Here is a 15,375-nt window from a genome sequence, read left to right on the forward strand (position 1 = left end):
TAAACTTTCAGGGTACAAAATCAATGTACACAAATCAGTAACACTGCTGTATACCAACAATGACCAAGCTGAGAATCAAATCAAGAACCTCTTGTTACAATAGCTGCAAATAAAATAAAATAAAATACTTCGGAATATACCTAACCAAGGATGTGAAAGATCTCTACAAGAAAAACTGAAAAACTGATTGCTGAAAGAAATCATAGACAACACAAATAAATGGAAACACATCTAAAGCTCATGGTAGGTAAAATTAAAAATGACCATACTGCTAAGAGCAATCTACAGATTCAATGCAATTCCCATCAAACTACCATGATTATTCTTCACAGAACTAGAAAAAACAACCCTAAAATTCACAAGAAACCACAGCAGGGTGTGGTGGCTCACGCCTGTAATTCCAGCACTTTGGGAGGCTAAGGTAGGCAGATCACTTGAGCCCAGGAGTTCGAAACCAGTCTGGGCAACATGGCGAAACTCTGTCTCTACAAAATATACAAAAATCAGCTGGGTGTGGTGGCTCACGTCTGTAATCCCAGCACTTTGGGAGGCTAAAATGGGCAGATCACTTGAGCCCAGGAGTTCGAGACCAGCCTAGACAACATGGTGAAACCCTATCTTTACAAAACATACAAAAATTAGCCGGGTGTGCTGGCACATGCTGTAGTCCCAGCTACTCAGGAGGCTGAGGTGCAGGATCACTTGAGCCTTGGAGGCAGAGTTTGCCATGAGCCGAGATTGTGCCACTGCACTCCAACCTGGGTGACAGAGTGGGACCCTGTTTCAAAAAAAAAAAAAAAAAAAAAAAATCATATGGAACAAAAGAGCCCAAATAGCCAAAGCAAGATAAAGCTGGAGGCATCACATTACCCGACATCAAACTATACTACAAGGATATAGTTACCACCAAAACAGCATGGTACTGGTATAAAAATAGGCAAACAGACCAATGGAACAGAATAGAGAACCCAGAAATAAAGCCAAATACTTACAGCCAACAGATCTTCAACAAAGCAAACAAAAATACAGAGTGGGGAACAAACACCCTATTCAACAAGTGGTGCTGGGATAACTGGCAAGCCACATATAGAAGAATGAAGCTGGATCCTCATCTCTCATCTTATACAAATATCAATTCAAGATGGATCAAAGACTTAAATCTACGATCTGAAACCACAACAATTCTAGAAGATAACATCGGAAAAACTCTTCTAGACATTGGCTTAGGCAAATAGTTCATGACTACGAACCCAAAAGCAAATGCAACAAAAACAAGGATAAAGAGATGGCACCTAATTAAACTTAAAAGCTTCTGCACAGCAAAAGAAATAATCAGCAGAGTAAACAGACAACCCACAGAGTGGGAGAAAATATTTGCAAACTATGCATCTGACAAAGGACTAATATCTGGAATCTACAAGGAACTCAAACAAATCAGCAAGATAAAAACAAATAACCCCATTAAAAAGTGGACAAAGAACATGAATAGACAATTCTCAAAAGAAGATATACAAATGACCAACAAACATATGAAAAAAATGCTCAACATCACTAATTATCAGGGAAATGCAAATCAAAACCACAATGACATACCACCTTACTCCTGCAAGAATGGCCATAATTAAAAAATAAAAAAAATAGATATTAGCATGGAGGTGGTGAAAAGGGAACACTTTTACACTGCTGGTGGGAATGTAAACTAGTACAACCACCGTGGAAAACAGTATGGGGACTCGTTCTGGAGATGGAGTCTCACTCTGTCACCCAGGCTGGAATGCAGTGGCACGATCTCGGCTCACTGGAACCTCTGCCTCCTGGGTTCAAGTGATTCTCCTGCCTCAGCCTCCTGAGTAGCTGGGACTATAGGCATGCGCCACCATGGTTGGCTAATTTTTTGTATTTTTAGTAGAGACAGGGTTTCACCATGTTGGCTGTGCTGGTCTTGAACTCCTGACCTCAGGTGATCTTTCCGCCTCAGCCTCCCAAAGTGCTGGGATTACAGGCATGAGCCACTGCACCTGGCCAGAGATTCCTTAAAGAACTAAAAGTAGAACTACCATTTGATCCAGCAATCCCACTACTGTGTATCTACCCAGAGGAAAAGAAGTCATTATGTGAACAATACACTTGTACACACGTTTATAGCAGCACCATTTGCAACTGCAAAAATACGGAACCAGTCTAAATGCCCATCAACCAATGAGTGGATAAAGAAAATGTGGTATATATACACCATGGAATACTACTCAGCCTTAAAAAGGAATGAAATAATGGCATTCACAGCAACCTGGATGGAGTTGGAGACCATTATTCTAAGTGAAGTAACTCAGGAATGGAAAACCAAACATTATATGTTCTCACTTATAAGTAGGAGCTAACCTATGAGGATGCAAAGGTATAACAATGATGTAATGGACTTTGGGGACTCAGGGGGAAGGGTGAAGAGGGTGAGTGATAAAAGACTACACATTGGGTACAGTGTACACTGCTCAGGTGATGGGTGCACTAAAATGTCAAAAAAAGAAAAAAAGCAACTCATGTAAATAGGATATTCAATAAGATTATCAGCATAGTCAGTGGGATGACATATTCAAAAGAAAGAAAGAGGCCAGGTGCAGTGGCTCACACCTGTAATCCCAGCACTTTGGGAGGCTGAGGTAGGTGGATTGCTTGAGCTCAGGAGTTTGGGACCAGCCTGGGCAACACAGCAAAATCCCACCTCTACCAAGAAAAAAAATAAAAATAAAAAATTTGCCAGGCATGGTGGCGCACATCTGTGGTCCCAGCTACTCAGGAGGCTGAGGTGGGAGGCCCACTTGAGCCTGGGAGGTGGAGGTTGAAGTAAGTCGAGATTACACCAATGTACTCCAGCCTGGGTGGCAGAGTCAGACTCTGTCTCCAAAAATCTACAACATCGTGGAAGTTGGAAAACACACTGTTATTTTAAATTTCATGTATTTTTATAAAAACAGATGGAGTTGGTTGGGTGTGGTGGCTTACACCTGTAATCCCAACACTTTGGGAGCCTGAGACGGGTGGATTGATTGAGCCTAGGAATTTGAGACCAGCCTGGGCAACATGGAGAAAACCCCATCTCTACAAAAGATACAACAATTAGTTGGGTGTGGTGGTGCACGCCTGTAATCCCAGCTACTCGGGAGGCAGAGGCAGGAGGATTGATTGAGCCAGAAGGTTGAGGCCACAGTGAGGGGAAAAAAAAAAAAGAGAGAGAGAGAGAGAGTCTTGCTATGTTGCTCAGGCTGGTCTCGAATTCCTGACCTCAAGTGATCTTCCCACCTCAGCTTCCCAAAGTGCTGGGATTACAGGTGTGAGCCACCACGCCTGGCTGAAAAAACACACTATTAAACAAAGTGAGACAAATGAAAATGAAAATACAACATACCAAAACTTACAGTATGCAGTGAAAGCTGATCTCAAATCAATAATCTAACATTACACCTTAAGGAACTAGAAAAAGAACTATACCTAAAGCTAGCAGAAGAAAATAATAAAGATAATGGGACAAGATAAATGGAAAATAATAGAGATAATCAATGAAACCAAAAGTTGATTCTTTGAAAAGATGAACAAAATTGACAAACTTTTAGCTAGACTACATAATAAAAAGAGAGACAAGATCCAAATAATGAAAATCAAAAATGAAAGCAGGGACATTACAACCAATGCCACAAAAATAAAAAAGATTATAAATAAGAGAACAGCATGAACAACTATATGACAATAAATCTGATAACCTACATAAAATGGAAACAACTTACCAAGACTGGCTCATAAAGAAATTAAAAATCTGGACGGATCTCTAATGAGCAAGAAAACTGAATCAATAAAACAAACCCTCTCATAAAGAAAAGCCTAGGATCATATAGCTTCTCTGATGTATTCTACCAAACACTTAGAGAATTAACACCAATCCTCCTTCCAAAATAGGTAGGAACACTTCCTATTTCATTCTATGAGGACAGCATTACCCTGACAAAGCTAGACAAAGATACTACAAGAAAACTATTAGATCAATATCCTTTGTAAACAGTGACCCAAAAATCCTCAACAAAATGCCAGCAAACAGAATTCCAAAGTACATTAAAAGAATTATACACCATGACCAAGTGGGATTTATTCCTTGAATGCAAGAATGGTTTAACATATGAAAACCAATCACTGTAATACATCACATTAATGAAATAAAAGAAAATTTTAAAATGACACGATCATCTTAATGCAGAAAAAGCATCTGAGAAAATGCAACATTCTTTCTTGATAAAAGCACTCAACAAACTAGGAATGGAAGAAAACTATCTCGACATAGTAAAGACCATAAATAAAAAGCCCACAGCTAACATCGTACTTAATGGTAAAAGACTAAAAGCTTTTCCTTTAATATCAGGAACAAGAGAAGGATGCCTGCTTCCAGCACTAATATTTAACGTAGTATTAAGAGTCCTAGACAGATCAATTAGGCAAGGAGAAGAAATAAAAGGCAACCAAATTGGGAAAAAAGAAGTAAAATTATTTCTGTTCACAGATGACATGATCTTATATATGGAAAACCCTAAAGATTCAGCGAAAAACTACTATAAACAAAGCAAAACATTCTGCCTGCCTGTGGTACTAGGAAGAAGCTGCAAGAGGACTTGCCCTCTGGCCTGAAGGCAATGTAAAGAGCAGCCAAGTATTATTGATATTTCCTCACCCTTCGGCTCTCAGTAAAGGATGGTTTTTCCACTCTTTCAGGATGCGATGTATAGCTCTTTGTACAGCCTGCAACACACAACTTAATCACCACCTCTCTGGCCACTGCCACAGGTCTTACAGCAGCAGTCCCCAACCTTTTCGGCACCCAGGACTGGTTTTTTTTTATGGACCAGTGGGGGAGGGGAAGACGGTTTCAGGATAAAACTGTTCCACCTCAGATCATCAGGCATTAGATTCTCATAAGGAGCACACAACCTAGATCTCTCATATGTGAAGTTCACAATAGGGTTTGTGCTCCTATGAGAATTTAATGTTGCTGCTGACTGGTCTGTGGCCCAGAGGTTGGGGACCCCTGTCTTACACTGAAGACCACAGCAAAGGGAGGCTTCCTAAGAACAGGGCCTGGCTGGGGAGGCTGGAGCCAGAACAAAGCCCAGGAACCTGAAAGGTGTTTGCTTAGTGCCCCAACCTTCTGCTTCTCATTTTCCTCCCATGCACACTGAACCATGCAAAGGATCCTTGAAGTTGAAAGAAATCTGAACCTTTGGTGTCCCTGTGGTGCACTGGCAGCTCAAATCAGAGTATATAAAGAGCTCCTATAATATACATAGAGTTCCTACAAACCATTGAGAAAAACAAATGGCAACAAGTATTTCAATAGATAGTTCAAAAAAGGGAAACACAAGCGGCTCTTAAGCATGTGAAATGATGCTCTCCTAACAAGCCTTCTTGGGAGGGCTGCTGAGTCAGCATGGCTGGTTGGAAGTCCACCCTCCAACCACAGCTATATTTTCCCAGTTATTTGAAGGATCAGTTCCACTTGAATGACCAATTCTCACCATAAATGTTGATAAATAAGGCCAGGCACGGTGGCTCACGCCTGTAATCCCAGCACTTTGGGAGGCTGAGGTGGGCCACTGCATTCCACACTCCAGCCTGGGTGACAGAGAGAGACTTCGTCTCAAATAAACACATAAATAAAATAAAAGAGTGTTGATAAATAAACCCAAGAAGAGCACAGAAGGCTCATGCTCACTCATCTCCTCTGCCCCAACATCTAGATGAAAAGACAGTAAACATACAGAAAAAAAGGAACAAATTCAGAATAGTGTTGAGATCAGGAGAGGACCTGGCAGAAGACACTGGGATTGGCTATGTCTACGTCTGCTCTAAATCCTCTTCTCTTACATATTCTTTGTACAGAGGGAGAAAACCTGCTCATTTTCCCAGCCTCCCTTGCAGCAGAGGTGGGTGCCCAAGTGATTTAATGGTTGCCTGTGAGGCACAGACTAGTTTCTGGGAGAGCGTTTCTTTTCTGATGAGAGGGTGAATGTTGCTGTTGCCAGATTTCTCCTGTTCTCTCTCCTTCCCTGATCTTGGACATGGAAGCCACCTTGTAACCATGAGGGAAGGGCTAGGAGACCTTTACAGAGGGTGGTAAGCGGGTGGTACATACTGACAGGTGACTCTGGGAGGGGAACCACAGATTCTCTTAGGCAGAGCCTCAGTGAAGTGTCCTGTTTGGAGTTGGTAAGAATAATCAGCAGGAAGGAGGGGAGAAGAAGAAATCATGGCCATCAAATGGTAGCCTGTTTGTGGCTCCTTCTGTCTATACCACCACGGCCCAGAGTGCTTACTTTCAGGCTGAGAAAGAGAACTACTATGGTGAGCTTTGGCGGGCATCTTGGGCTAAGGCTGACAGAATGAAGCTCCACAACCTGCCCATGAGGGGGACTCACTGGGCAGGTTTCTGCCTGCCTCCCACTCTAGTAGATGGCTCATCGGCCTGTCCTGGAGGTGAGATGTGCTAAGCTGTGCTAAGCGAACAGCTGTACTCTTGAAAAGGAAACCTGAGGCCACTATCAATCTGGGTTCTTCACTTGTAACTACAACCTGATAACCAAGGATTTCCACATAGGGTAAAATGTCCTCAAGTAAAGACCGCAATGAACAAATCAAAGATTGAACCCAGAAAAGCCAGATAATTCAGGGAACAAATTATTTTAGAAAATGTTAGCATCTGCAGCTGATATCTGAGAAGATATCACAAGCCTTTCCTTCCATTAATAGACCATGCAATTCAGAACAGCCTTCCTCACTGACAACAAAGAAAAAAAGGTGGACAAATAGCAGCAAACTTCTGAGAGCTAATGTGTTAATGATAAATGACTGAGCCATGCTGTGGGGAAGACAGAGATCCAAAGAGGGATGCCTTTGCTTTGGAAATATTTATCCATGAGGAAGAAGCTAGGCAGAACTTCTACCAAACTTGAGGGCCTGGGTTGGGAGCGGTGGCTCATGTCTATAATCCCAGCACTTCGGGAGGCTGAGGTGGGTAGATCACCTGAGGTCAGGAGTTTGAGACCAGCCTGGTCAACATGGTGAAACCCCGCCTCTACTAAAAAAATAAAAATTAGCTGGGTGTAGTGGTGTGTGCCTGTAATTCCAGCTACTTGGGAGGCTGAGGCAGGAGAATTGCTTGAACCCAGGAGGCAGAGGTTACAGTGAGCTGATATTGTGCCACTGTACTCCAGCCCGGGTGACAGAGCGAGACTCCGTCTCAAAATAAACAAACAAAACAAACAAACAACTTGAGGGCCTAGGGGGACCATAGCAGGGGCTAGGGCCCTGTTAACTTACCCCTCCTTTGTCCTGGTATTCCAAAGGTACGCAACCTAGAATAAGCGTCAACTGGAAGTAAACTAGCCTCTATACCAGCTGGCACCCAGCTTTGAGTTCCAGGCAGCCTAGAAAACCTCAGTCCCTGAACGGGATCATGGAGTCCCTACAGTGCTACTCCCAAGAAGTTGGCAGAAGCAAATAGAAGTGTTCTGTAGAAGAAGATAACATCATCTTAGGCCTCAAACTATTTCTACAATAAATTTTTCAAATACTATGTCCACCAGATAGTAAAAAATAACCAGGTACATAAGGAGATAAGACAATCTGAATGAGAAACAGCAGAAATATTTATAGGCAACGGAAATAGATCTGCAAAGGCTCCTGATACTAGAATTATCAGACATAAAACTTTAAAATAACTAAGATTATTATGCTAAAGTAGATAAAAGCCTAAATTAAAAATCTGGTGAAGAATTGAAAGCATGAAAAATGATACAGCTGATTTTTTTTTTTTTGAGACAGAGTCTCACCCTGTCGCCTGGGCTGGTGTGCAATGGCGCGATCTCGGCTCACTGCAACCTCCGCCTCCTGGGTTCAAGTGATTCTCCTGCCTCAGCCTCCCAAGTAGCTGGGATTACAGGTGCCCGCCACCATGCCTGGCTAATTTTTTGTATTTTTAGTAGAGATGGGGTTTCACTAAGTTGGCCAGGCTGGTCTCAAACTCCTGACCTCATGATCCGACCCCCTTGGCCTCCCAAAGTGCTGGAATTACAGGAGTGAGCCACCACGCTTGGCCTTTTTATTTTTTATTTTTTGAGATGGAGTTTCGCTCTTGTCGCCCAGGCTGGAGTACAATGGCGTGATCTTGGCTCTGCCTCCTAGGTTCAAGCGATTCTCCTGCCTCAGCCTCCCGAGTAGCTGGGATTACAGGCACATGTCACCAAGCCCAGCTAATTTTTTTTTTTAGTAGAGTCGGGGTTTCACCATGTTGGCTGGGTTGGTCTCAAACTCCTGACCTCAGGTGATCCGCCCATCTTGGCCTCCCAAAAGGCTGGGATTATAGGCATGAGCCACCACGCCTGGCCTGATACTTGATTTTACTTTTTTTTAAATTTTCCTTTTCTTGAGACGGAGTTTTGCTCTGTCTCCCAGGATGGAGTGCAGTGGTGTGATCTTGGCTCACTGCAGCCTCCTCCTCCCGGTTCAAGCGATTCTCCTGCCTCAGCCTCCCCAGTAGCTGGGATTACAGGAGTGTGCCACCACACCCAGCTAATTTTTATTTTTAGTAGAGACGGGATTTCAGCATGTTGGCCGGGCAGGTCTTGAACTCCTGACCTCAGGTGATCCACCCATCTCGGTTTCCCAAAGTGCTGGGATTACAGGCATGAGCCACTGTGCCCGGCGATACAGCTGATTTTAAAAAGAGAGGATATTACATCTCTCAGATGATGGGGAAAATGAAAGGGAAGAAATAATCAAATAGGAAAACCGAAGAAAATCACTGGTCTCTGTCTCTGTTTCTACAGAATGAATGAGCTTTCTGAATCTTCAAAACACCAAGATAGGATCCCAAAGTACTTACAAAGCAATGGAAATTAGATTTACAATAGATTTTTTTAGCAATAACACTGGATGCAAAGTCTATGGAACAATGCCTTCAGGGACTTAAGGGGATTTGACTTTGAACCCAGGATTCAAAGTACCTAGTCAATTAAGGTACACCACAGTCAAATTTAAGAATGGAATAAAAAATTAGGCCTCTGTACACACCAAGGCCTGTGAGGGCTGACCCTCTGGCCTTTTGATGTCAACTCCTTTCACCCTTCTGCTACCATCCCGTTGGGCTGTTCCTTTTAAACTCCAAGCTCTCCCACCTCAGGCCTTTGCACTTTCCCTCTGCCTGGATGTTCTTCTCCCAAATATATGCATGGTTTCATCCCTCACCTTTTCTGGTCTCTGCTTATCTGTTTGTTTGGCCTTTCCTTTTTCTTTTCTTTTTTTTTTTTTGAGACGGAGTCTCGCTCTATTGCCCAGACTGGAGTGCAGTGGCGCGATCTTGGCTCACTGAAAGCTTAGCCTGGCCTTTCTTAATTGCCCAGCATGAAATAGCAGCCTGCCAGTATTCTATATCTCCCTGCCCTTTTAATTTTTTTCCCATGGCATCCATCACCACTCAAGACACTACAGATACCTCTTCTCATTTGCTTAGTCTGTCTCTCTCCATAAGAAAGCAGATCCATGAATGCAGGGACTCAGTCTGCCTTATTCACTGCTGCCTGCCCCATTCACTGCTGCCTGCCCTATGCCTATAACATGCCTGGCCAGGGGAGGTGCCCCATCAGTAATTGCTCAATGATTGAATGAAGCTGTGAGCTAACTCTTAGATCCATACCTTCTCCCATCCCCCACCAACCTGTTACCTTCTTGATTTAATGAATGGTTCTGGCATCCATTTTTTGCAGCTGAACCTGGAGGTGCCACATGTTCATTATGCTTTTTCCTTCCACATCCAACCACCCATCAAATCTTATTGGTTCTGCCTCCAAAATACATCTTGAATCTGTCTCCTTTCCCCTCTCCATGGCCACCACACTGATCCAAGTCACCTTCATCTCTTCCTGGGACTGTTACAGAAGATACTCCCTGACTGTTTTTCTATTTTAGTTCATGACACCTCTGTGCCAACTCTGCCAAGAAGAAAACGCTAGCTCCTGTAAAGGTCTCTGTGGTCCACCTCCTGCCTCATTTCACACCACCCTCTCCTTTTGCCTTCTATGTGCCAGCCACAGTGGCTCCAAACAGATCAAGCACTCCTTGCTTTTACTCTCACTTCTACTAGGAAACACTTTCTCCAGGTCTCTGTATGGCTGTCTCACTCTTCTCCTTGGGTTTCATCCGCAGTGTCCTCTCACAAGGCCTTCCTGGTCACTCCTTCCCAGGCACTCTCATCTGAAGACCCTGCTTACTTCCTTCTTAGTCTGAATCTAGTCTGAAAATATTTTGTTGACCTAACTGCCTCCCTGTTTATGTGTGCATCCCTACCAGACCGAGCTCCACGAAGGCAGGGAAGTACCTTCCGTCTTTTGTCTTCACAACCAAGCCCAGAGCCCCTGCAGGCAGCCTCCCTCAGCACAGGCACGTGGCGGAGCACTCCGTGGCTCCTGATGTCCAGGGCCCAGCTCCTGCCAGGTTGTGGAGGGCCGTCGGCATGTCACCCTCTCACTGATGCTGGGACCTGAGGCTGGGTGCTGGAGAAGTCTAACGGGACACAATTTCAAAGCACTTTGGCTTATTTAAAAAATCTCCACCTTCATGTTTCAAGAAAGAATTCTTGCAGCAACAATGAAAGAAGCACCTACCACTACTGTTGACTCCCACTGGCTTCCAGTGGAGTAGTGAACCGGACCCAGTAAGTCCTTGCATATTTCTCGAAGTCGGTATTCAAACCCTAATTACAGAAAAACAAACAAACAACAACAACAAAAAACAAAACAGAAATAGGAACACATTACAAAAAGAAATAAAATCAAGAATATGTTGTTGTGTCTATCAAATCAGAATAAACACATGCGTATTTTATTGCCTACTATGGGCAAGACGCCCCTGCATGTCTCTCAGCGGGGGGCACTGAGACCCATAATCACAGATTTTCACTCACTTGCTCACTCCCCTGACATCTGTAGTGCCTCCTCTGTGTGTTGGGCCCAGAGGAAAAACGAGATATGGCCAGTTCTGTGATAAACTCCTTAAGGTGATGGGAAGATATGGGAAATTGTGGGCTGGTGAGATCTGTCTTTGAGAAGATGCGCTGGCAGCTGGTGTTGAGGGGAGGTCAGGAGGGTGGGACGGCCAGCCCGCAGGAGGTAAGAGATGGCAAAGGCATGACTGAAGAGGGGCAACTGAGTGGAGGGGGCATAGGTCCATTAACTCAAGGGTTATGGGCACCACCCAGTAGGGCTGCTAGAAAGGCTGGAGGTAGAGTGTCGGGGTTTGTCAGCACTTGGGGCAGCTAAAGCAATAGGGAATGGATTAAACTGTCCAAAGAAAAGGGTGGAGTAAGAGAGATGAAACTGGAATCTGAGGAATTTTGGAAGTGAATGGGGTCCACTTTTATACTAGATTCCTCCTTTTACAGCCAAGGAAACAAGGGACAGAATGGAGGGTGGGTAACTGGTGTATGGACACTAGAACAGGCAGGTGGAAGATGGAGAAAGAGAAGCAAGCAGCAGAAGTCATCCCAAGATGGGTGGCGGGGCGGAGAGGAGGTGGGGACTTGATGCAGGGCATCAGAGCAAGTCCCAGTCAACACCCAGGATGAAGCAAACCAGAGTGGAGTAAGAGGAGGGGCTCCCAGGGAAGACGTGACTAGAGCACCACAGGAGAGGTATGAGAGCCTGGGAAGGCTGAGTATTCAGAAAAGCTGGGGACCACACATAATGGCAACCACATAGACCTGGTGGGAAGAGTAAACATCAAATTCATCATCGTGGTCTGCAGGGAGGGAGGGGAGGCTTCAAGTTGATCAGTAATATTTGCTGTCGTTTACAAGTGTATGTACACACACACACACATACACTCGTATTTACACAGCCAGAGGCACATGTGACATGTTAGTTCTGGGAATTACATCCGTGAAGGTCTGATTATGATTTTCTCTGTCTTTTCTGTACTTAAATTTTTTTCTAAATTATAATCAAAATGGGGAGGGTGATGACAAAAATAAAGCAAAAAGCCCAGGAAGCTGCACAGAGAGAGCTCTGGGAGGGCCTGCCCCATGCCGCACCCTGAAGGCTGCACTCAAGTGGGAGGAAAAGTTGGTAAGGCTATTGGAGTCACTGTGAGGACAGTGCAGCCACCTCTTCCAGCACACCTGGCTTTCTGCAAGGGAGGCAGCAGAGTGAGAGCTCTGGCGGGAAGTGCCAGAAATGGAGGGCCTCAGTAAGTGCAGGACATCAGGCAAGCCTGTCCAGGGCAGGAAGGGCTGGGAGGAGGAAGAGAACCACTGCTACAAGATGCCCTCACTGATTAGCAGCACTGCCAAGTTGTGGTGCAGGGCAGGAGCCAGAACATAGAATCTGCTCCTTCAGACCATGTCTTTCCACCCAGGCATCTATTCCTCCGTCCTGCTGCCTGTCCTGCTGCTTCTCTGCGGGAACACCCTCAGGGTCACTCTATTCAGAGCCTCAGAGCCTATAAGGGGCTGGGTGCCTGCTGAGCTGCCTTGACTGCAGCTCAGGCTGGGAGGTAGAGGCTGCTGGGCCATCACATCTTTTCCCTGATTTCACAGGGACTAAGTGAGGCCTGGGAGGATGGAGGGGCAGAAGGAGAAGGCTGCTCAGGGCTGCCAGGAGCCTCACCTTCGTTTACGAGGTACCGTGCGTAGACGAGGAGCCAATGGCGGTACTCGTGGCTGGACTGCAGGGTGAGTGCTGCTGCCACCTGGTTCTCTAGGTAGGCCAGGGTGGTCTCTTGCTGCACCACATGAGGCACGGAGAAGAGCCGGGCAGCCTGCCTTCCCGAGCTGCAGAGACCAGGAGAGTTTCCATGATGGGGCAGCAGGCACTACACAGAGTCAGGAACTGCCCCCGTGTGCAACAGGCAAGGAGCTGGCAGGAGGCAGGCACCAGGGCTGCCAAGGCCTCCCGTCCACTAGCCAGTCTGTTGGCAGATGCCAGATCTGTTGTCTGCCCATCCCCACGCCCCAGCCATGTGCCTCCTGGCACCCTTGGGGTATCTCACCCAGCACCTGCCATCTGGGCCCCTGAAGTGACAGGGCCAGTGATTGCTGCCCCCAACCCCAAGATATTACCTGATGCAGGACCACTACCCTCAGCACCCCTAGTCCGTCCTGCCCAGCCTGCCTGTGCTGACCAGCACCTGGGGCACAGGGGAAGGGCAGGTGGAGACCAGGCCTGGGCAGGGACTGTGCGTGCACTGACCCAGGCACTTCCCCAGGGCAGGACTAAGGACAGTGGCCATGGCATTCAGGTCACGTACTTGGAGGTGCGGCCCTGGATTATGGCTAACGGTCCTGAGCACAGCATGGCGTCCTGGGATGGCAGGCTGCTCCTAAAGTCTGCACACTGAGCCAGTGAGTCCTGCTTGTCAGAAACCAGGTTCCTGGGGAGGCAAAGGCAGGAGCAGAGCTCAGGAAAACCAAGAGATCTGGTTGGCCTCTTTGCCAACCAGAGAAGGCTGGCAAAGAGGCCACAGAGAAGCAGCCCCTGCCGACACAGAAAGCCAGTAGAGGCTGAGCGCCCCTGCACTTCCGCACAGGCGCCTATCACTGACAGGTTTCATGGTAATGGGTCTGATAGATCACTGTTCCAAAGGAAAAATGAGTGAAGTGAAGGCTGTGGATAGGGCCCTTGCTGGGAACACTTCAGCTCCATATGTTGGTTCCTGATGACTGCAGGCCTCTGTGTGCAGTGTGCTCTGATGCTCAGCTCAAACACTGCCATGGTCTGCCCACAGGGCCACATGGCCTGGGCCCTGTAGCTAGCGAGCAATGCCAGGCCTCTACCTGCCTGTATTTCTACAACTATCCCAGACTGGCAGTCCTTCCACCTTCTCTGGACCCTTCTCATCCTTGTGAAGAAGACTCTTCACACACTTTTAGAACAGCTAGATGTCTTTGTAAATGTGTCCAAAATACAAAGATGCCTACAGAGAGTCAATATTTCTCTTCTTAAATAATCAGCTTATTTCCATTATTACAGCAATCATATATAATAGACAACATTTTGCAATTTGGGGGAGCAGGCAGTGGAGATTTTTTTTTTCCTTTGAGACAGGGTCTTACTCTGCTGCCCAGGCTGAAGTGCAGTAGTGTGATTACAGCTCACTGCAGCCTCGACCTCCTGGGCTCAAGGGATCTCCTGCTTCAGCTTCCCAAGGAGCTGGGACTACAGATGTGTGCCACTGCACCTGGCTTATTTAAAATTTTTTTTTTTTGGTAGAGACAGGGTCTCACTATGTTGCCCAAGCTGGTCTCAAACTCATGGGATCAAGCAATCCTCTCAGCCTCCCACAGCGCTGGGATTACAGGTGTGAGCCATCGCACCCAGCAGATTTTTTTTTTCCAAATTCAAGAAAGAAGTCTCAGTGTGAATGTAGACTTCTGCATGGCAGTTCTTAACAGAAAAGGGGCTAGGAGGTAGCAAGCTTTGGTTCTTAAGGACCAAAGGTATAGACAGAAGAAAAGAACTTGGAGTGGCTGGAACACAACGTACATAATTCACGTGTCTGGGTTAAGAGCTCTGATGTATAAATTATTTTGCAAGTACAAAAAAGGGCTCCAAATTCCTGAGTGGACAGAGGAAAAGTACAGACCATCATGCCTGGGTAAGTGGATAAGCATCCTTACTAATTCACTGAGGAAGTCTGAAGTGCTTACTAAGCTCACAGAAATTGACTAGTCCTGTTAAGGCTCCTGTAAAGCCCACTAACCTATGCTCATGGTGGCTAAGGGGGCCACAGCAAAAACCATAAAAATTTTGGGGCTTTTTCAAAAAGTGCCTCCTGAAAATAATGCAGGAGGACAGTGCTCCTGCACACAGGCTCTGAGGGCAGAGGCCATAGGCTGCAGTGTCCTGCTGGGACAGGGGAGCATGCACAGATAGTCAATGCAGCCTGCACTCCAGGGCCTGACTCTCAGGAAAAGCAGGGCTAGGCAGCCCTGTAGGCCACGACCCTTTGCTCTGCTGTCTAGAGCAGACAGACACTCTTCCAGGGAATAGGACTGGGGGTCAGCTTGCTTACCATGTGGAAAGTGACGGATTAAAGCAGTACGCCTTCCCATCGGACAGGTTCATTACTGGGATTCCATGCTGCGTCAGCAAGATCTGTGATACCGTCATATCACTTCCTGAGGACAGCATGGGAATGAGTTCTGGGTGTGCTCTGATCAGCAAGTGTTTTCAAACATATCAAAGGAGAAATCTGTACTCTAGGCTCCCACAGTCCCAGCAGCAAATGCATCAACACTGCCTTGGCAAATAGGGAGGGCAAGCCATTCTCCTTGCCACACACCAGGCTTTT

General features: G+C 46.0%; 1 protein-coding gene and 1 long non-coding RNA gene across 3 annotated transcripts in view; one reads left to right on the forward strand and one right to left on the reverse strand.

The window, feature by feature from the left end:
- The window catches only part of LOC105372859 (uncharacterized), a 59,606-nt gene extending 48,717 nt beyond the window's left edge, over positions 1-10,889 (forward strand). For both annotated transcript variants that reach the window (XR_938002.3, XR_938000.3), the window contains one exon: positions 10,381-10,889. This is a non-coding gene — a long non-coding RNA (uncharacterized LOC105372859). The remainder of the gene's footprint in view (positions 1-10,380) is intronic.
- The window catches only part of HIRA (histone cell cycle regulator), a 101,036-nt gene that overhangs the window by 9,966 nt on the left and 75,695 nt on the right, over positions 1-15,375 (reverse strand). The window contains exons 21-24 of the mRNA NM_003325.4: positions 15,097-15,202; positions 13,333-13,455; positions 12,693-12,856; positions 10,695-10,783 (exon numbers count right to left, since the gene is read on the reverse strand). Coding sequence (NP_003316.3) covers positions 10,695-10,783; positions 12,693-12,856; positions 13,333-13,455; positions 15,097-15,202 — 482 coding nt within the window. The remainder of the gene's footprint in view (positions 1-10,694; positions 10,784-12,692; positions 12,857-13,332; positions 13,456-15,096; positions 15,203-15,375) is intronic.

This window comes from Homo sapiens, chromosome 22 (assembly GCF_000001405.40).
Source record: "Homo sapiens chromosome 22, GRCh38.p14 Primary Assembly".
In the NCBI taxonomy this organism is placed as follows: domain Eukaryota; kingdom Metazoa; phylum Chordata; class Mammalia; order Primates; family Hominidae; genus Homo; species Homo sapiens.